The sequence below is a fragment of the Homo sapiens genome, chromosome 1 (assembly GCF_000001405.40).
Source record: "Homo sapiens chromosome 1, GRCh38.p14 Primary Assembly".
NCBI classification, from domain to species: Eukaryota; Metazoa; Chordata; class Mammalia; order Primates; family Hominidae; genus Homo; species Homo sapiens.
In genome coordinates this window covers 225475671-225497992 of record NC_000001.11, presented here as the reverse complement: position 1 = coordinate 225497992, position 22322 = coordinate 225475671, and the positions used below count along the sequence as shown (strand labels likewise).

Genomic DNA, 22322 nt, shown 5'->3' with positions numbered 1-22322 from the left:
AATATATAGAAATTAGTATCATCTTTCTAATATTAAAGATGTGTGCAATGAAAGATGCAAAGTTAATCTTCTTATTACTGTGAGTTTGAGCACAATCCTTAAAGTTTCTTAGGAATGAATCACTCATTTATCTTACTTTATCATTATATTTATTTTCAATACTTGTTCTTTTCCATCCAGCAATCAGGCAGGAACTGAGCAAGTCAAATACTGCATAGAGGAACAGACTAAGGAGAGATAGGACTTTAATCTGGAGGAAAAATATCCTACAAACAACAACTGTTCACAACAGCAAACCCCTACATTTATGAGCTGTAAGAAGAAAATGGAGACAAACAGAAGGAGGGAAAAACCAACCTACTCTGAAAGCCTTCAGACATTATGACTCTGGTGATAAGCTCTTTCCCTCTCCGTTTGCTGCTTTTTTCTGGCCTTTACAACAGAATGGAAGAGAATCATTTAAGAGTTCCTGTAACAGTTATGCAGAAAATACTAAAACCCATCAGGCAAGATCACCACGCATTGAAATATTTTCATATCAAGATAAAGTCGCACATTTTCCACAATACATTGCTAAAATAAAGAGGAGAAAGGCTTAGGAAGTTTTTTTGCAGAGAGTGCTGGTAAAGAATTGAGCAAGTTTGCTATTGTATTGTAATGTTTCTCTCAGGTTTGTTCTTCCTATCATGTTTGATATTCCATGAATAATTGAGATCAGCCCTATGTAAGTTAAGATCATAATATGTGGAACAAATGGAATTGTAAGTGCTTTCAAAGGGTAATATTTATAAGAAAGTGTCCGAAAAATGTTTCTTCAGCTTGAGAAATTTTAGAATGATAGGAAGTTTCTCGAGTTAGCCTTCATGCAATTTTGTAGATTAAAACATAAAATTTGTCCAGAACTTAAAGATTTAGATGCCTTCCTAAATTGTTACAATGCTTTACCAAATCTATGACTTCTACATAACACAAACCAGTGGTCAAATGTAAACACTATATTGTAGATTTACTGTAGGTTTTCAACCTTTTTTAGATTTATGCATGTGGACATTTTTATAATGTAATTACAATCACCACAAGGTTAGCTTTTTTAATTGCAGACAGTAATGCATGTCACACTAATATGTAGTGGCCTTTTCAAGGCCTAGTCCCAGGGAAAACATTTTGTAGAGTATAGGGGAGTGGGAGGAAGGGGAGGAATAATTTTTTATTTAAAGTTGATTTCTGCACTATCTTTTTCTCAGTTACCTGCATGAATAAATAATGAGAAATATTTTGTGACTTTAATTGGTAAATATGTTACAAAACCAAGTACTTAATCTTTTACATCATGTCTTCAGCTATTTGTATTTTAACCAGTAATTTCAATGGTCTGAAACATGATTCTGAGCTTCACATAATATCTTAACTGTGGAACTCAAAAGTTTGATCACTGAATTTGGCAGTTATTATTACCTAGGTACCCCCGCTGTTACACAGGTGTTTAGATACGTGTTCCTGAATGAAGCTGCTTTTGAATTTTGTTATGTTGAAATGCAAGAAATAACAATGATGGCAGCAATTAAGGTCACAGAAATCATTAGGTAAAGGAAAACCAATGAGGAGTTCTGCAGTTTTCTTTTAATAAGTAAAGTGAGACTTGGGTGGTGGGAAGAAGGAAGGTGGGAAGAAGGAATTAGACACTCTGCCTGCCACTCTGCGTGTGTGTGCTCTCGCGCACGTGCTGTCTATATGGAAGCCACTCCCTTTTCTTTCCTTTGAAACTGGTAAGGTTAAAATAGGGGAGAAATCCTACATGTTGGAATGATAGCTTTTTGGAAAATTTAAGAAACTCTCCAGGCTCTCCATCTTGATTTATGCTTGAGTTGTTATGTGCCATATTTGCTTTGAACTCTGATTATCAGAAGTTTTACTAAAACTTTGAAATAATTCACTTTCATCTGCTTTCTAGATTTTGTACATCTCAGTCCATAAAGCAAAGCTTGTTGATAGTGTAGTTTTCTAAACGCTGCAAATTTGCAGCCTTTACCACTACAAAGAAGTTTGGATGAGGGATTTTTTTTTTCTTTGTCAAAATAGTTCCTGTTTCTGTAGAAATTTCATTTTTAGATTAAACTGTGATGGATGAGCTATCATAATTCAAGTATACATTTCTTTTTTCTATCAGATATTCATTGTCATGCAGTAGTAGTAAAAACATCAAAGATGCAGCAAGCTTATTAAGTATTATTTTCTAAAAGAAATAGGAGGCATTTTCATCTTTATTATTGTACTTTTGGTTATGCAAACACTTTGATAATATAAACAGTTATGTCCCCTATAAATCTGGTCAGCAACCTCTTTTGATTTTGTTGGGTAAGTTAAATAGTCTGTAGTAGGTAGAGTACTGGGTACAAGTGGTCCAAACTAAGATAAGAGACTAAAATAAAATGCTAAATCTTAAAAGAAACTGGGTTTATGCACTAAACGTTTTGTGCCTTGGTCTAATATTAACATGATGTATGTGTAAACTGACAAAAAAAAAAAAAAAAAAAAACCAGTGTTGAATCATGCTATATTTCCCATCATCCCAGATTGCTAAATGTTCTTTCCAAGAAGTCTGAATGAATTATTATATACATTTGCTATCATACATGACAGTTGTGTCATTATTAGAGATTTCAGTAATTAAAATGGGAAACAGAAGCCTAAGTTATTTACCTTATCAAAACCACGTTCCTTGGAACCACATTATTATGATGGTTTTTGTGCTCTTGTACGTTGGATGTCTTAAGCTGAGTACAGTTTAGGGGATCCTTTCTAATGACAGGAAGGCACTGCTTTCCTCAACACTGTGATCTGACCTGTGACAAGTCTGTACTATCCACTATGTAAATGGCTCACAAGTCAATTGCAAACAAACTGAATGTACAAATCTTAGTGCTGGTGCTGAAATCTCTTCAGAATAGTCATCATGATTTAAAAGTTTGTTTAAAAATTTGCAAGCATCAAGTGTCAATCAAAACTGAAGATGAAACACTAATGAATGTTGAATTCTCATGCTTTTAGGTGTACTTCCTTTTTAGAATTTTCAGTTTTCTGCTATTTTTACCGTAACTATTTCGTTTAAATTTGTTTCATTTAAGTTTCCTACACGCTAACTTCGTTTGTGCGATTGAAATAAAATTGCAGTATATATATGTTGCTTGTTTGTGACACTTAGATAATCTTCTGAAATAATTTGTTTTAAAGTAAGTTATATTGGATGTGAAAAACACCTTTTAAAGTCCAAGACTTTACTACTTAAAAGTTTACATGTCACGTCACTATTCTTTACAGATTTCATAGAAGTCGTGAATACTAAGTAATGTATACAAAAGAAATATGTGATGATGTGTCTACTTTTTGTTTGAAATAACTGTTGGGTGTTCCCTCTTCTTATTTTCTCTCTGCCCACCTTGACACAGTAACTTCCTCTTATAGTCAAGATGATGATTAAGTGTTTAATTTTTATTCCATTTTGTTCTGCAACACGTTCAGGTACTTAAAACTCATTCATGCAGTTAGAATTATCCTTTATGTAGTTTGCATGGTAAAGGACATTGTGTGGTAAAGGGCATTATTGAGTAATGAATTTTAAGTATAGCAAAATATGTATAGTGTTTATACATGATGCTGATTTCTTAAAACCTACATATAAGCAGTAGTACTTTTTCTCTATTATAAAGTATTAATTTTGAGTTCCATTTTATAATTCTGATGTCTTCATTAGAAATACAAAAATACAATCCTTGTATTTTTTCTTTGACCAGACCCAAATTTTCCCCTTCCCCCCTCCATTCTCCTCTCCACTTCTCGTGGACCGCGTGTTCCCAATATTCATTAACATTTGCAGCCATTACAGAGTTACAGTTGTAAAATTTTCAGCTGTTTTTTTTTTTTTTTTTTTGCTCTAGCCTGTCTCATGTTCTTGCTTCTCTTCATATGTAAGTCAGTATTTTTGTCTACAAATTAAAAGTCACTTGTCATTCAAAAATGAGTTAAGTAACATGATAATCTTTTAAATTTACCTAGCTACAACTTTTATGTCTCTTGTAAATTTATATATACTTTCAGTGCCATTGTGAAGAATTGGCCTTTTAATTCTAAGTAGTATTACCCTATGAAGCACAGTGTGCAAAGGTATGCTACAAGGTCTCTTTAATTCCTGTGTGGCCATTATAATTTTATAACACCATTACCCTTTAAATTCTACCGATTATAAGCAGCGTAAAAGTAACTATATAAAGCAAACATCGCAAAGGAACTCTGCAGGAGCTCTTAATTCCTTTATGTAGCTATCATAAAATTCACTTTCCTGAAGACATTTACTCTCATTCACTTCCAAACTCCAAACCTTTTTCTGGTAGCACCACTTTTGTTTTTAATAGAAAGATGAGTTCATATCTGTACATCTCTCCAAAGCTCTAAGGAATGAGAAAAGGATCCTAGTATATTGAAATTACTGATGTTTAATACCTCTGCCTTTTCACTAAAAGCCATTTAATATTTTTAAAGTCAAAACTTGACATACAGGTATTTATAAGGAATCTCCATGACTCTGAAGGAATGAAATTGATGTAGGTAGCTTTGGCTATGTAAAGACATAGTAGAGGACAATTACTTAAAGAAGAGTTTTCTTTTGAGGATTTGTAGATTTGACTAAGCAGCTGAAGTCAGTAACCCCTCAAGAAAGTCCGTTTATAGAAGCCAAGAACTGTTGGAGGTCTGTGATGCAGGTTTTTCTGTTCCCAACATCAAAAGCTGTGGATTATTTGGTGTGTTCCCCTTTATGTTATCTCTCGATAATTTTTGAGACATCAAGATTTTTTAAAATATCAATACTGGAAAGATGAAACCTTCAAATTAAAACCTAAAATTGATTAGAAAGAAAAGTAAAATATTAATGCAGTAAATTTAGGATGGTTACAGATACTCACCATCAACATAAATAAATGGAGTTCTAGGATAAATTATTTGTGGAATACTAATGGTCAAGTCACATAAGAGTAAAATCTTTTGGTGAGGAGACACATTTGACAACTGCTAAAGAATTAACTAAATTTGTCTTTCTAAATAGTTTTCTTTATAAAGTAACAGAAACATTGTAAAAGGATAAATGACTGTCATAATGACTTAGGATGTTGTAAGAATGTCTGCCACATTTATTGGTTATTTCTGTTGAAATCTGAAGGAATCGATACATCTGAAAATTGAGAAAGGGAAATAGGACTGTCCCCGTTACAGATACTCTGTGATGCACACAACCTTCTAAACGGAAGTGTTAGTATCATTTAAAGCACATAGTAGGCCTTGAGTATTTGCAGATTAACATGCAGAAAAAATCAAAGATGAAGCCCCAATTAAGTGTTTGAACCAAAGAATCACAGTCACTGAGCTGCACCCCCGTTCTGTGAAGCATGTTAAATACTCATAAAGAGCAGAGAGCAGGGCCCGTAGACGCTTCTGGTGTAGGACACAGGAATTCTAGGCAGAGGGAGAAAATTAGGGGCCCCAGTTGGTGGCTGAGAGTAAAAAGAATATACCATTTGAGTAGTGCTGTTCTTTTTCCTCAGTTTTTAAAGACATATAATTCCTAGTAGTTAGGACATCTAAATAGCTCGGTAAACTGGTCAGAGGCGGGAGGATTGCTTGAGGCCAGAAGTTTTGAGATCAGCCTGGGTAACAGGGAGACTCATTTCTACAAAAAAATTTAAAAATTTAGGCCAGGCATGGTGGTGCACACCTGTAATCCCAGCTACTCAGGAGACTGAAGCGGGAGGATCACCTGAGCCCAGGGAGGACGCGGCTGCAGTGAGCCGTTATCATGCCACTGTACTCCAGCCTGGGTGACAGAGCGAGAACCTGTCTCTAAAAAAAAAAAAAAAAAATTCTAAGAGAATATAGCTTTTCATAGAAATTATTAGAAAAGCTTACATATTTCATTAGAGAGCCCAGTTTGTTAGACTACATTTATTCCGTAAAAGTTCTATATACAAATGACAACCCATAGTTTATCATGTAAATCTGATTTAACTGTTCCCTTCAATTCCAAGAAAGATTTCTTCAGCAGTAGATGACAATTCTAAAAGCATAAAGAAATAACTAATAAAGGAGATGGATGATGTTATAGGTTGGTTTGGTTGGGTTTTAGTAAATAGTTATTCTTCTAAGAAGGCTTAGAAAATCGAGAATTGAATAGTTGGTACTTTGAATTCCATAGGAAAAAGCACTCAGAAGAAAAAGTCTACATTGGCTAGTGTTTAGATTGAGAGTTAATTTTCCCATCAAGTCCAAAAGTTTCCATCCAAGTCTATAGAAACTGAGAGAAAAGGTTCTTGGCTTACACTTAAAATACACATTGTTGCAACCATATAAGAGAGATACATTACAGAACGCTTTTAAAAATTTGGTCTCTTAAGCGCCTAACAGTCCATGCTTTAGTCACATCTGTGAAACCTCTTTTCTTTTTTTCTTTTTCTTTTATTTTTTTTTTTAAAGATTAAAGGCATTTTAAAAATAAATGTTTCATGGCCGGGCATGGTGGCTCACGCCTGTAATCCCAGCACTTTGGGAGGCTGAGGTGGGCAGATCACCTGAGGTCAGGAGTTTGAGACCAGCCTGGCCAACATGATGAAACCCCATCTCTACTAAAAATACAAAAAAATTGGCTGGGCATAGTGGTGGGCACCTGTAATCCCAGCTCTTCGGGAGGCTGAGACAGAAGAGTCGCTTGAATCCAGGAGGTGGAGGTTGCAGTGAGCTAAGACCGCGCCACTGTACTCCAGCCTGGGCGACAGAGCGAGATTCCATCTCTAAATAAATAAATGTTTTTCAACGTGTTTTATGTGAGAAATACCAGCTTTTCATTATTACTACCAGTTGATCTCAGGTGTCACTTGGTTGGTTCTGCTGACCGAGGCACTGGGCATTTTAAATATGGAGTTTCCCTCCACCCATTGATCAAGTCTGAGGTTTGTCCATCCTTGGTGGCAGGCTAGCTTAACCATGGATTCACAAACCCCATTTGATTGTCGTAAGTCATAAGGCCACCCCAGTGCCAGTGGTTGGGCATCACAGTGAGTCTGAGGTGATGAATTTGAGTTAGCTGTAGGCTAGTTCCGCAACTCAGCAATAGCCCATGGATGGTTGGTAAAAGACGTTGACTTTGCCACTTAAATTTCCAGGAGAAGAATAGCTTATAGTTTATCTGAGGAAAGTAATTGGGAAGGCTTAGATATTGAGAAGAAAGCCCTGTTAAAATCTAGGTAGCATTTCCTTTCTTCTTTATTACTAGAGGGATGGGAGGTTCAGGCCTGAGTCAGGACTTTACAATTTGGTGTCCTTCCCAGAGGTACTTTGGGCTTGATCATTTTAAGTTTCAATTGCAAAAAAAAATTTTTGACGGAGTGTTGCTCTGTCACTCAGGTTGGAGTGCAGTGGTGCGATCTCGGCTCACTGCAACTTCCCCCCCCTGGGTTCAAAGGGATTTTCCTGCCTCAGCCTCCCAAGTAGCTGGGACTACAGGCGCGTGCCACCATGCCCGACTAATTTTTGTATTTTTAGTAGAGATGGGGTTTCACCATGTTGCCCAGGCTGGTCTTGAACTCCTGAGCTCAGGTGATCTGCCCGCCTCGGCCTTCAATTGCAGAAGTTTTTGAAGGGAGAATATTTGATCCTCACATAAAATGTCCTTGTTTCTGAAAGAAAACATGGTAAAAATTGTTATTGAGTCCATGTCTTTGCCACCTTGTTGGACTTGATTTCCCTTTCTCTGTGTTCCTCCCGCCCTCAGTCTCTCTCAGTCTGTCCTTTTTTGTGTGTGGAGTTGTGGGCAGGTCATTGGACTGGGACTGACTTTACCAGTTTTCAGGCTGTGGGGCTAGTCAGTCATTCTCTCTGAGCCTTCTACCTCTAAAGTTGAGTTCTTTTTTTAAATTCTTTTTGTTTTGTTTTTATTTTTTCCTTGCCACTATACAAGCAAGGATAGATAAAGCTTTTTATTATTATTGTTATTATTATTATTTCGAGACAGTCTCGCTCTGTCATCCAGGCTGGAGTGCAGTGGTGTGATTTCAGCTCACTGCAACCTCTGCCTCCCGGGTTCAAGCGATTCTCCTACCTCAGCCTCCTTAGTAGCTGGGACTACAGGCATGCGCCACCACACCCGGCTAATTTTTGTATTTTTAGTAGAGACAGGGTTTCACCGTATTGGCCAGGCTGGTCTCGAACTCCTGACCTCAGGTGATCCACCCACCTTGGCCTCCCAAAGTGTTGGGATTACAGGCATAAGCGACCGTGCCCATCCCCGATAAAGTTGAGTTCTGAATTTCCTCTTTCACTGTATTCTCGGCAGCTACTGGTTGGTTTATTCTTTTTTTTTAATCTTTTTTGGTTTATTCTTCTTTTGATCTTTGAAGAGAAGGAGAAAAAAGATCTGAGTTTGGCTCTCCCATCTTAAGTGCAGCTTTTAGTTGTTTTATAGTCATAGACGCTATTGCACTGGACAGCATGCATCCTGGATGTAAACAATGCGGAAAAATCAATGGAGTGACCATCTTGGGGTCAGTGGTGTTGCATAAAGCACCAGTGGTGTGCTGTTCTGTGTCAGTTTCCTCTGCGCCACGTGCTTTCACAGTTTGAATTACCAGCATCTCTGTGGTGGCTTCAGTACATTCTCCATTGTGCTTCAACCTGGAAGCACATTCTGCCGTTCAGAAAGACTGATTCCAATCATGTAATGGGACCACACGAGATCCATGCTCCAATTATATGAATAGCAGAAGGTCCATTTGACTCTTGTAGTTCAAGAGCTGTTTCTAAGTAAACAGACTTTCCAGAGCTCGATGAAGTGAAGAAGCCCTTCTTTCAATTCCTGGGCAGAATTCAGTGGTTTTCATATCATCTGAACCTGCTGTGCTGCTGTTTATTCTATCACTGTCAGCCTTGAAAGGAAAAAAGGAATAATCTTACCCTCCTGCCCTTCTTATTTTATATCTTCCATCTTATCCATCTATATCCATGTAGTCATTCCTTCCGAGTTCCCTGGTTTTAATCCAAAAGACTCTGTTTAACAGCAATGTCTTGGCAGACCAGGTGCCGCTTCCGTGCCATTTGAGGGCTCTGAGTCTTTGCTTCGTCTTAGGAAGATAAAGATAATTTGGCAGAAAGTCAGAGATGGAAATAGCAGTTTGGGATGATAAAAGATGGGTCCTGTTTTGCTGACATTCTTTTACTTTGGTTCTTGGTGCGTGTCCTTTGGGATTCATTTCTTGCTAGCATGAATAGGACATGCTTTTCGTTAGGTGCTTTTCTTTTTTGGAGAACATGAAGTGTTTCTAACAAAACTGAATGAGCTAGAAAGAATTCTATTTTGAGACATCTGTAGTTGATGCAAAGTATTTCTGTAATCCTCAATGACAGTACTTACATATTTGCATAGAATTTTTTTTTTAATTTTTGAGGAAACCTCTCTGGAGTCTGTATTTATAGGAGCATCCTGAAAGTCCCTATTATGTAGCTGGTGGGAGCGAGAGAGGGACAGCCACACTCGTGCTGTGAGCAGAGCACAACTTCAGGCAGAGTGAATGCCTTCTGAGTTCTCATTGGAAGCTTTCTGTTGCTCAGCCTCTGGCAGATTTCAGAACCTTCTACTTAAGCCAGGTGTGGTGGTGCGTGCTCCTAGGCACAGCGACTCGGGGGGCTGAGGCAGAAGGATCACTTGAGCCCAAAGTTGGAGGCCAGCCTGGGCAACATAGCGAGGCCTGTCTCCTTAAAAAATAAATAAATAAATAATAAATAAATAAATAAATAAAAACCTTGTCCTTGACTATTGTGCTGTCTGCTGCCCCTTTGTAGGGATGGGGTTGGGGTCAGAATAAGCATGTGCATGAATGGCGGAAAGCTTTGGTGGTGTTTGTTTGTTTGTTTGTTTTTTGAGAGGTGGGGGAGTCAGCAGTGAACCTTTCTGGTTAAAGAACAACGTACATAATTTCTATTATGAGATTTAGAAGGTTAAATACTTTTTTTTTTCAGGCCTACCAAGTTGATAGACCAAAAGTATATAGTAGAACAGCACAGTAGAAAAAATTTAAAAGTGAATTTCTTATGGTCCAAAAGGATGGATAGTCACAGTCCATAACCTTTCATAATATATGCTGGAATTGGAATCTCTTGTCATCTTGCTTTGCTCTGAATTTTAGAACTAGAAGTGTGCATGTATGTCAAAAGATTATGCAGAGCTATTTTCTTTGCTAACAATGTAAACATTTGCACCCCATGAATGGGACTTTATAATCTGGAAGTGAGCCTAAGGTTGCGTATACTGAAGTCATGTTTTAAAAGTTAAGGTTGACTTAAACATATACAAGGCTGTATTTTAATTGTAACTAGAAATCATTTACTATGCATACAGAACCTCATGTATCTTATCATGGAATTTGTGAATTAATGGGCCTTGCCGAATTCAAGGGTAAGGGAAACTGGTAACAACTTGTTTTAAATCAACATACTATAAGCTCCTGCTTGCTTGACTCAAGTTGTTTGAAAATCTGAATTAAACAGGATCTCATTGTCAGGAAACATCTTCTAAGCTTGACATCTACGTTTAAGAAGGGAACGTGGAAGAGAAGGTGAGACATGAAACTAAAACAGCTGGGAGGGTAGGATCAGACTGCACCTGATTTTTGGACCAAAGTTTCATATAGGAATAAATAAAAAGGAGGACCACTTGTGAGCCAACCTAGGAAGGACTTGCCAGAAAGTAGCAGCTCCTGCTGCAAAATACAGTGCCTTCAAAATGATTCTCTGTGTGAATTGCATGCAATTTCATGTAACCATAAAGTGTAACCTGTATGTGCATGACATGTGTCTAGAATGTGTAAAGTTAGGATTCAGCAGGAAGGGGCCTGGCCCTGTCACTGTGGTGGATCAGTGGACCTGCTGAAGTCACTGGACTCATGTGACTTAGGTTTGCAGCATCAGACCCCTGTGTTTGCATTAAGTGGCCACATCGTTGAAATCGGATCAATCTCTCCCTCAGCTTTCTTTCCTACTTTGCAGCTTTGCTGGTTTTAACTGCTTCATTCTTCTGCTTCTTGGTATCCTTTTTTCTTTTGAAATAAAAACATGAAATACTTAATTCAAATGAGATTTGTATTTATTTTACCAGTTGCTCTTAATTTACCAAAGGTATACGACATGAAAAGAGTTGCATTCTTTTGTCTTGGTTGTGATTCTGACCTTAAAATACGCTCAGTTCTAAAAGCTTGAGGAGCGTTCTATACTGGTCCTTCTGCATTTCAGCCTGTCACCAAGGGGAGTGTTTTGCGATCCGCCATCCTTTCCCTGAATGCTGCTGCTCCTCTATGACGGAAAGCTTGGTGACCTCTTCATTGGAGGCGTCCAAAGCCAGTGAACAGCCTGTTGGTAAATGAACGAGCTGCATGTACGTGCTATTTTCCTCCAGGACCAAATGCCCTGTGCATTTTAGTATTAAGCGTACTTACTGCAGGAACCAGTACTGGGACCACTGCAAAACTACACAATGGTGCAAGTGCTTTGGGGCTTTGAAGAGCTGAAGACAGACATAAGACTTAGTGTTCTCAGGCCGGGCATGGTGGCTCATGTCTGTAATCCCAGCATTTTGGGAGGGGTGGGCGGATTGCTTGAGTCCAGGAGTTCAAGACCAGCCTGGGTGACATGACGAAATCCCGTCTCTACAAAAAAAAAAAAAAAAAAAAAAAAGGACTTGGTGTTCTCACTTTGTGACCATCCTGCCCCTCACTGGAGGTCCCTAGAGGCAGGTGCCTTTCAGCTAAGAATATCTGGGAGTCTGTGGTTTGTGAGGAGCTTGCTGGCACATTAGTGTAAAGGGTGTGATCCTTTTAATGGCCACACTTTTCTGTATGATGTCTTTGTTTTCATTCTCTGATGTCAGGGAGGTGAAAAGAAGGCTCAGGTGAAAAGAAGGTTCATCAACTGAACCAGAGTAACTTGTCACCTCCTTTTTTGCCAGCCTCATTTCTAAATAGACTGAATGTCTGTTACCTCTCCTCTCCTTTTCAACTGAGAAGCCCTTGGTGTACAGCGGAAAGGGGCTGTAGGGGAATGCATTTTGCCACTGCAGTCATGAGCTGACCCAGCCTTCTGTATTCTTGGATGTTTTCATTCTAGGCTGAATCCCATTGTGTTATGGCAAAGAGGCCAGACCCTAAGAGACTATATGCTGAAAAGATTTGTGAAGCCCCTCAGTTCCCAGTAACTTTTGGAGCTTATTGTCATGAGATTGCTACCCTAGCCCTGGGCAGTGTGGGCAAGGACACCGTGGCACCTGGGCACTGAGTCCGGGAGTTGTATTTTAGCCTTCTCTCCTCTCAGCTGTAAAGTGAGGTGTTTAGGTCTTCAAAGGTCATTCCAGCTCCAGCTTCTATGGTTTCAATATGCTGGGGGTATCTGGCTGAGGCTCCCCACCCAGGTGGCCCAGCTGACAGTGACAGTATCATAGAGTGCGAGATAGCCTCTGTCACCACACTGACAGCTGCAGACACTAGTATGGAGGGGTTATGTGGGTGAAGTTCAAGGCGTCTCTCTGTGAACAAGCTAGAAAGAACCACTCATTTGTCATTTCTCCTTGGCCACAGGCTCTCATGGCAAAGGCCTCTGACTGAGGAGTAACACAGCGTTGAACCAATTTTAATATTGCAAGGCCACTCCTGTGGGTAAAGGCATTGGAGATGTATGCTTCAAAGCATTTTTAAAAGTCACCTGGGATATGACAGTGATGTCTATCCTTGGATGATTATAGCTCTTAAGTCATCACTCCCGACCCCCAAGACAAAAACGAGTCTGAGAAGCCAGGAAGCTGGTTTGCAAAAAATGTGTCGCGTTGAGTTGGGCCTTTCCTGCCACAGCTCCTGCCGCTGGGTGAAGTGTTGGAACCCTACAGACAGGTCCTGTCGCAGCCAGCTGGGAAGCCGAGGTGAGCAGGCCTCCTGGGACAGATGGGGCCCCACTGATGAGGCCACTGAAGCCCCACAAAAGGGCTGGCTGCTGTCAGGAGCCTCCACAGCTGGGATTGCCCACCACGTTTTGGCTTTTTTAAAAAAACTTTTTTTAATTTTAGAGATGGGGTCTGGCCATGTTGCCCGGGCTGGTCTCACTCCTGGGCTCAATCCTCCCACCTCAGCCTCCCAAAATGCAGGGATTACAGGTATGAGCCACCATGCTCAGCCTTAAAAAAACTTTATTGAAGTAAAACATATGGACAGAAAAGTGTACGTATGCATACAGCTCACTATCTTGACAAACTACACCCATTTGCACAGCACCCAAAGCGAGAAAAGACGTCAAGACCCAGAAGCCCCCTCGTGTTTCCTTCCAGCCACTCCCTCCCAGCATCACCCCTCTCCTGACTTCTGACCCCCGAGGTTGCTGTGTTTGTGCTTGATGTGAAGGAATCCTGCTATTTTGTGCTTGGTTCCTTTCTCCCAATATTGCATGTGAGATCATCCGTAGTGTGTGTAGTGGTGGATTGTCTGTCCTCGTGATATCGTAGTTCCCAGCTTAGGGCTATTATGGGTAGTCCTGCTATGAATATTCTAGCATGTGTCTTTGGTGAACATATGGATGTGTTTCTTCTGGGTGTGTGACTAGGAATAGCGTTGGTGGGTCACAGCGTATGCCTGCGTTCAGCTTCAGTAGATCCTGACCCACTTCTAAACGTGCCTAGCAGTGCTGGAGCCATTTATGGGCATGTCAGCTGGCGGGGCTGCGAGCCTCCCTCCGTCGTAGCTCCCTTCTGTGAATGGCCCCACGGGCAGCACAGGGAACAATCCAACGAAAGAACCGAACCTGCCTTGGACAGCTAACTAACTGCGGTCTCATTCTGTTTCCCTGAAACGTGGAATTAAGTTTCGAATACAACTTTCCTTCCCTCTTAACAACGATATTATTCATGTCTACATTTATTGCAAGCATTTACCTAGAAGATAAGGCCTATTTCCTCCAATAAGGTGAGTTTATACTCAATGAAATTAATTTTTTCGTTCATTTAGCATTGCTTCCTAACAAGTTGTCAATTGATGGACCAGACATTTCTTTCCTGAGCTGCAGATTATAAAGGGGTCTCACTCTCAGGGCACAAGAAGCAAGAGCACATACCCAAAGGCCAAGGAAGTGGCTGCCTTCTTTGTTTTTCCCTAAATGATGTCCTCTAGAGAAATTCCCACAGCCCCATTATGAGACGGGAATTTGCTTGATTAAAGGAGATGATTCCACTTTCTGTCTAGTAATCTGGGGCATGAAGTGGATGGTTAGATACAAATCTCCAGTGTTAAGTACCAGTAATTTTTGTCAGTATGAAAAAAGTGGCTGGGTGCAGTGGCTCATGCCTGTAATCCCAGCACTTTGGGAGGCCAAGGTGGACGGATCACCTGAGGTCAGGAGTTTCAGACTAGCCTGGCCAACATGGAGAAAACCCATGGACGGATCACCTGAGGTCAGGAGTTTGAGACTATCCTGGCCAACATGGTGAAACCCCATCTCTGCTAAAAATACAAAAATTATCAGGGCGTGGTGGTGGGCGCTTGTAATCCCAGCTACTCAGGAGGCTGAGGCAGGAGAATCGCTTGAGCCCGGGAGGCGGAGGTTGCAATGAGCTGAGATCATGCCACTGCACTCCAGCCTGGGCAACAGAACGAGATTCTATCTCAAAAAAAAAAAGTGCTTTACTTTTTAAAAATGTAATTAGAGATGTAGTCTTGCTATGTTGTCCAGGCTGGTCTCAAGCAATCCTCCTGTTCTGGCTTCCCAAAGTGTTGGGATTACAGGCATGAGCCACTGCCAAAGATTATTTATTATTATTATAACTTAACTGGGAGCTGTTCAAGTCCCAAAGCTCTCTAGCTCTCCTAAGTTTTCAAAAGAAGGGAAAAGACTTTTTCCACATGATATCAATCCCATGTGTCAGATTATCTTGTAAATGTTGAGACGCGTAGGTCAGCAAGGGTCCAGAAGCTGGGAGTGTGCACAGCAGGTGGAAATGGAAGGGGAATTTGTTTTTGCCTTGCAGATCTCCTGTCCTGACTCAACACTTAATGGCACAGTGTCTCGGGTGCTTTCTTGAAACCTGGTGATGTGAACAAAGAATAAAAATAGCTGCTTGAAATGCCTCCAAATGAGCAAATGCAGGCATTGTTGGAATTCCAAATTTCAGAGCTGCTTTCCGGAATCCTCGTGGATTAACGTAGCAGGAGTGGGTACTGAACAGCAAGGATGGGGCTGGAACTGTAAACTCAAAAAGCATGATTATAAAAGGGGCATGTCAAAGGGCCAAGGATCGCAGAACGATCAGAGTTCATAATTTGGGGTAACCATAGAAATCATTAGCTCCAGCCCTGCCAGACAGCGACGGCTCAAAGAGGCAGCTGGTCAGAGTTGGTGCCTCATTCCCCCGCCGGTCCCCCTGCCCTGCCAAATCTCACTTAGAGAAAGCTGTAAGTGTGGGGAGGATGGAGGGTAATTGGAATTCAGACAGGAGCCAGTTCCAAGTAATTTGTAAATTATGTGAATGAGCTTGAAAAGATTTTACCCAAGATGGTAGATCAGCTTAACGTTCTCTTCCCATAATAAACCCCATCACAAATACACAAGGGCCTCAACACCCAGATACGAATGGAATGACACTTCTTTCCCTAGAATTGTAAGGCAAGGGAGAGGGAGAAGCATTTACTTGCCTCTAAAATAGAGCCCTGGTCCCTAAGTCCATGTGTGTTTAGGGGGAGGCAGACAAGTAGATCAGTGAACAATTTGGCTTAAATTGGTTTACAAAACAAAAATTACAATGTGAGTGTAATAAATTATACAGAATGATATACAAACAGATGGGGAAATAATGTCAGCTGCTTGGTGGTGATGGAGAAGTCAATTCACCTGGAATTAACAGACGAGCTGTTAAGAATGAGCAGGTGTTCTTGGGCATCAGAGGGGCAAAGGTATTTCTGGCAGAGCAACGAGCAGTTTGCAGGTGTGAGAGTGCATGGGCTGTTCTGCAACAGGCCCCGTAAATGGGCAAGGTTGGAAGATGAGCCGTGGGGTGGAGGCAAGACAGGAGGTGAGCTGGAGAGGTTGGGAAAGAATTGGAAACATTTTGCTCTGTCCTCTGAAATCCCGGCACATGCCACATTAGACTGCATGGTTTCTAGGGAGCTTCAGAGGTCCTAATGAACGTTTTAGTCTGATTTTAAAAAGAAAACGATTTTAAGGTTCTGGCACAGAAGACATAAAAATGTGTGACATACTCCCTGTCTGCCAGAAAGCACGTTCTTCTGCACATTTAGAATGTAGAAAATATAACCCTTTAAAAAACCACCAATACAAATTGTTTTTAAGTATTCCAGAGGGAAAATAAAAATAATATATTGGCCCCTTTAGGAAACAGAACGGCCTCTCATTTCCTGGACAGTTGTTGAGAGTAGCCGTGCCAGTGCTACCTGGATTCATGGATGTGCCACACGGTGATCAGGTTCTGTGATCTGTCACGCTATGGGTGCAGGAAATAAACCCACTGGCTTGATGCTTTCCTGAGTCCGTGTCAAGCGAGTACAAGTGGGAGACATTCAGGGTAGGAGTAACTGGTATTACAGGAGCACCTGGGCTTAGATGACACGTTGCGTCCAGCCATAAATAACACCTGACTTAAAGCAGCTTATGTAAATAACAGTTTTAATTTCCTCCTATTCACCTGTTAATGAGAGAAGGATTCCTGCCCTGGGATTGTAGCAATGGCCAAACACACAGCACCTGATACTGGACAGGTGCGATTGACAGCAGGTTATTAGTAACCTGAACTCACAGCTCAGGGGAGGAGGACAGTGCCCCACACAGGGCCCCATGGGAACTGCACTCAGGAACAGAGGGAGCCAGCAGGGGCTGTGGGAGGCAGGCTTGGTGGTAGTAGCAAGAGGGTGTGGTGACCCCTGGTTCCCACCGGAGAATATGATTGACTTGTTTAAGTAATTCCACAGGCTGGTAAGGAAGTGAAACCCACAGCTGGTGGGTGAGCAGGAGCCCTGCCTGGTCCCCTGGGTAAGGAGGGATGTTTGGCTGGGGGGCCTTATCTGAGAGAAAAGAGTGAGGAGGGGAACTTGCAGCTCGGTCACACCTGGCCCTTCCGACTGGAGCAGAGATCAAGGCAGCACATAGTGTTGGGTTTAAATTTTAGGTCTTACCCTACAGGTTTATTAGCACACGTGACTCTCAACCCTGAGGTACGAGGGCCCGGGTTGGTTAATTCCACAGTTTTGGATGCCACCGCTAGGTTCCTGCCTTTCCTCAGGGCCACTGTCACTGCCTCAGCTCCCGGGAGGAGGTTTCCTCCTTGTGCATCCCTTCCGTTCTTCTCAGGCAGGAAACTTTTCTGTGGCCCCTGGTGACTTTCAGATCTCAGGCAGAGCTGGCCCCATCCCACTACTCTTCATCTGCAAAGAGGAGAGATTCCCTTAATCGGTTCAGACGAATTACCACGCGTACCTCAGGACCCAGCCTGCTTGCCTGAGCTCCTTGCTGCCCAGCAAGGAGCAGTGGATGTGGCTATGAGGCAGGCACCCCAGGGCCTCATCTTCACCCCAAAGCAAGGCTAGGGAAAGCGGAGTTCTGGAAAGCCACACTGATGTGCATCAACGCCTCTGTGCTAAACCTTGGATCCATGGTCTGGTAGGCAGTAATAAATATGTTTATACTTCTTTGTTTTTTGAGATGGAGGAGTTTTGCTCTTGTTGCCCAGGCTGGAGTGCAATGGCGCGATCTCGGCTCACCACAACCGCCGCCTCCCGGGTTCAAGTGATTCTCCCACCTCAGCCTCCCGAGTACCTGGGATTACAGGCATACGCCATCACGCCCGGCTAATTTTGTATTTTTAGTAGAGATGGGGATTCTCTATGTTGGCCAGGCTGGTCTTAAACTCCCAACCTCAGGTGATCCGCCTGCTTCAGTCTCCCAAAGTGCTGGGATTACAGGCATGAGCCACCGCACCTGGCCACTTCTTTTTTTTTTTTTTTTTTTGAGACATAATCTCGCTCTGTCACCAAGGCTGGAGTGCAGTAGTCAGTCCTGCCTCACTGCAACCCCCGCCTCCCAGGTTCAAGCGATTCTCCTGCCTCAGCCTCCTGAGTAGCTGGGATTATAGGCGCACACCAACACACTCAGTTAATTTTTGTATTTGTAGAGACAGGGTGTCACCATGTTGGCCAGGCTGGTCTTGAAATCTTGACCTCAAGTGATCTGCCCTCTTCAGCCTGCCAAAGTGCTGGGATTACAGGTGTGAACCATCATGCCCAGCCATACATTTATACTTTTGAGACAGGGTCTCGCTCTGTCTCCCCGGCTGGCGTGCAGTAGTGTAATCTCAGATCACTGTAGCCTCAACCTCCCAGGCTCAAGCGATCCTCCTGCCTCAGCCTCTCGAATAGCTGGGACTCCAGGCGCACACCAACATGCCTGGCTAATTTATCTTTACTTTGTAGAAATGGGTTCTCACTATGTTGCACCAGCTAGTCTCAAACTCCTGGGCTCAAGCGATCCTCTTGCCTTAGACTCCCAGAGTGCTGAGATTACAGGCGTGAGCCAACACGCCTGGCTGGCAGAATATATTAATATTTGCATGAACCACAAATCAAAATGTTTTCATCCAAAAATGGATTAGCTGTGTCTGTTGGCTTGTGTATATAAAAGATTTGTGAAATAGTCTCAGTTGAGGAACCTAAGGAACTGGGGACGGTTCTTACAACACTGAAAGAAGGTAGATATTGAGATTAGTTTCTTCTCTCCAAAGACTGACTGTTTAAAAGGCTCAAGCGTGTACCACACTGACTACTGTGGTTCAGGAGAAGCAGCTGAAATATTTCCTTTTAGAGCTAAGTTCTATCCATAGAGCTGAACTTACAGTGAAGTTCAGTAAATTTTGGATTTACTGTAGGTTCTTGGAGACCAGAATTAGAGGAATGAGAACGCTGTGAGTTATAAAGTCCAAGCTGTGTCAGCCCTTTGCTTGGGAGCTGTCCTGCCCTGCCATCTCCTCTCTTTTTGGGGGGCCTCCTTCTCAGTCTCCTTGTTGGAGCTGTCACCCACTATTGGTGCTTTTTTTTTTTTTTTTTGATGGAGTCTCGCTCTGTTGCCCAGGCTGGAGTGCAGTGGGGCGATCTGGGCTCAGTGCAGCCTCCACCTCCCAGGTTCAACTGATTCTCCTGCCTCAGCCACCTTAGTAGCTGGGATTACAGGTGCCCGCCGCCACGCCCAAATAATTTTTGTATTTTTAGTAGATACGGGGTTTCACCATTTTGGCCAGGCTGGTCTCGAACTCCTGACCTCAATGATCCACCCGCCTCGGCCTCCCAAAGTGCTGGGATTACAGGCGTGAGCCACTGCGCCCAGCTGCTATCCGTGCTTTTGAAGGCTTTGTTCCTCACCCACCTCTCAGCCTCCCTGGGAAAGCCTGTCCTCTCCCGTGTCTTCTCTTGCCTTTTCTCCATCAACACACCAGTGACTCCAAGGAGTGTCTCAGCCCTGTCCTCTCTCCTGAGCACCAGAGCCACTGTCCTGCCCACTGGGGACAAGACTCCAGGACAGCCCTGCAGCATTTCAAATCCGAGATGACCCAAACCAAACTCTTGACACTCCTCCTCTGTTCTAATCCCCAGGCAGTTTTTACTCTCTCCTGGGCTCCCCTGCCCATAAGTGAGTGGGCCCCGTGGATCTGCCTCCCGCATGGTCCTCCCGGAGCTCCACTTGTTTCCAGCCTTGCTGCCAAGTCCTGTCAACCTCCCTCCACCTGTCACTGAACCTCCGCAGCAGCCTCCCGCTTCCTCCTCTCTCGCCCTGCATACAGCCCACTGTGGCCGGAGGGAGCCATGTGAACCGCATGTCAGAACACACCTCTTCCTGCTCAAGGCCTTTTGAGGCTCACAGACTGTAATCAAAATGAAGTCAGAATGTTTTAAGTGCCTTTTATGGTCAGCCCTGTGATCTACAGCGGGAGATAGGAAAGGGACAGCTGGCAATGTGGGAGAAGCTGCCTCCTCAAAAGCCTCCCCTTCCCTTCTTCCCTGCTGCCAGAACCCCATTTCGTGTAGGCCTCAGTGGAGCTCCCTTGATCTCAGGAATGCAGATCCATCCTCGGTCTGTGAGGGGGGCCTTGTGGCCTAGTTTTGGGCACATCTGTTGGAAGCTCCTGGGAAGGTTTTTTTTTCTCCCAGATAAGAGGAAGGCAAATGAGAAAGCTCTCCCCTGCTCCACTCCCTCACTTCTCTTCCTTGGACTTGATGGGAGTGTATGATGCTCTGGGCAACTGCAGCCATCTTGTAATCATGAGGGGAAGGTCAAGAATCTGAGAGAGCCAGACCTGGCATCTCTGAGCCACCACACTCATGTCGGCAACCACCTACCCCCATGCTTATTTAAGGAAAAATAAACCACTCTTTGTTTAAGTCACTGCTAGTCAGAGGTTCTGTTGCTTGCAGCCAGAAGGATTCCTAATAGACACAAGCAGGGTGTGTGGGAGTGCAGAGGAAGACTTCATGCGGGAGGTAGCATCTGAGTGCAACCCTGGGGGTGAATGGTGAAGGGCGCCCCAGGCAGAGAGTACTGTCGGAGCACAGAAATTAGGGAATGGGAATGGAAAATTCCCATTTAGTTGGAACATAGGAGGGATAGAGAACAATACAAGACATTTTGCCATGAACAATTTGACACAGTCATTTCAACCTCAGGGACAATTTTAAGTAGCTTTTCTTCTCTCTCTCTCTTTCTCTTTTTTTCATGGTCTCACTCTGTCACCCAGGCTGGAGTGCTGTGGTGCAATCTCAGCTCACTGCAACCTCTGCCTCTCAGGTTCAAGCAATTCTTGTGCCTCAGCCTCCAGAGTAGCTGGGATTACAGGTGTGTGCCACCATGCCCGGCTAATTTTTTGTATTTTGGTGGAGACAGGGTTTCATTATGTTGCCCAGGCTGGTCTTGAACTCCTGCACTCAAGCAACCCGCCTGGCCTCAGCCTCCTGAAGTGCTGGGATTAGAGGCATCAGCCACGGCGCCCGGCCCCTCATGTTGCTCTTTTGGTTTGGATTAGTCTGGACTTTCCAGAGAAGCAGAACGAAGAGGATGTGGTGTGCATATGTTTTTCATAACAGCACTAATCCCATTCATGTGGGCTTTACCCTCACAACCTCACCTCCTAGAGGCCCCACTTATGCACACCATCACCTTGGGAGTTAGGATTTCAACATGTGAACTTTGGGGGAAAATAAACATTCAGACATATACATACAAGTATATTCAGACACACACACACACTTGTGATAAGGAATTGACTCACTTGATGATGGAGGCTGCAGTGTGAGTTGGCAAGCTGAAGACCTGGACAGCCAATGGTGTAGCTCCAGTCCAAAAACCAGCAGGCTCAAGATGTGAGACGAGCTGAAGTCTCAGTGCAAGTCTGAAGGCAAGAAAAAATGATGTCCCAGCGCAAGCAGTCAGGCAGGTAATGTCCTTCTACCTGTGGGAGCGTCAGCCTTTTTGCTCTAGCAAGCCTTCAACTGATTGGACGAGGCCCACCCACACCAGGGAGGACGTTCTGCTGTTCTCCGTCTGCCCATTCAAAGGCAAATTGCATCCAGAAACACCCTCACAGCCATGCCAGAATCATGTCTGACCAAATGCCTGGGCATCCCATGGCCAAGTCGACACTGAAAATGAACCTTCATGGATATGTGATGGTCTTCCCTTGGCTGACAAGGACCCAGCAGGCACTTTGGAAATGGGAGTTTCCTCGACTTTAGGCCCAATCAGAATGCTTCCTTGGCCACCAAGAGGAAGGGGAACTGTGACCATTTACTGCCATTTCCCATCCGGCCAGAAAGAGGTGTCATCTCCATTTCCTCACCAAGGGGAAGGAGAATTATTTTTATTTTTTGAGATGGAGTTTTGCTCTTCTCACCCAGGCTGACAGTGAGTGCAGTGGCCCGATCTTGGCTCACTGCAACCTCTGCCTCCAGGGTTCAAGCGATTCTCCTACCTCAGCCTTCTGAGTAGCTGGGATTACAGGTGCGCACCACCACGCCCAGCTAATTTTTGTATTTTTAATAGAGACGAGGTTTCGCCATGTTGGCCAGGCTGGTCACCGGACCCCAGGTGATTCTCCCGCCTCGGCCTCCCCCAGTGCTGGGATTACAGGGGTGAGCCACCGCGCCCGGCCGGGAGGAGAATTCTAACATCGGCTCTGGATCCGTCTGTTTGTTCTGCAGTTCCCGCCAAAG

General features: G+C 43.2%; 1 protein-coding gene and 1 long non-coding RNA gene across 36 annotated transcripts in view; one reads left to right on the top strand and one right to left on the bottom strand.

Annotated features, from left to right (window-relative positions):
• The window catches only part of ENAH (ENAH actin regulator), a 167050-nt gene extending 155886 nt beyond the window's left edge, over window positions 1-11164 (top strand). For all 35 annotated transcript variants that reach the window (XM_017001752.2, XM_047424938.1, XM_017001751.2 and 32 more), the window contains one exon: window positions 181-11164. In XM_017001752.2, the coding sequence (XP_016857241.1) occupies window positions 181-218 (38 nt within the window). In that variant the 3' untranslated portion in view covers window positions 219-11164. The remainder of the gene's footprint in view (window positions 1-180) is intronic.
• On the bottom strand, window positions 11159-22026 carry LOC124904526 (uncharacterized). The gene is made up of 2 exons (XR_007066903.1): window positions 21383-22026; window positions 11159-11439 (listed from the first exon to the last, which is right to left on the bottom strand). It is a non-coding gene; the product is annotated as an uncharacterized LOC124904526 (long non-coding RNA).
• Between the last annotated feature and the right edge of the window lie 296 nt (window positions 22027-22322).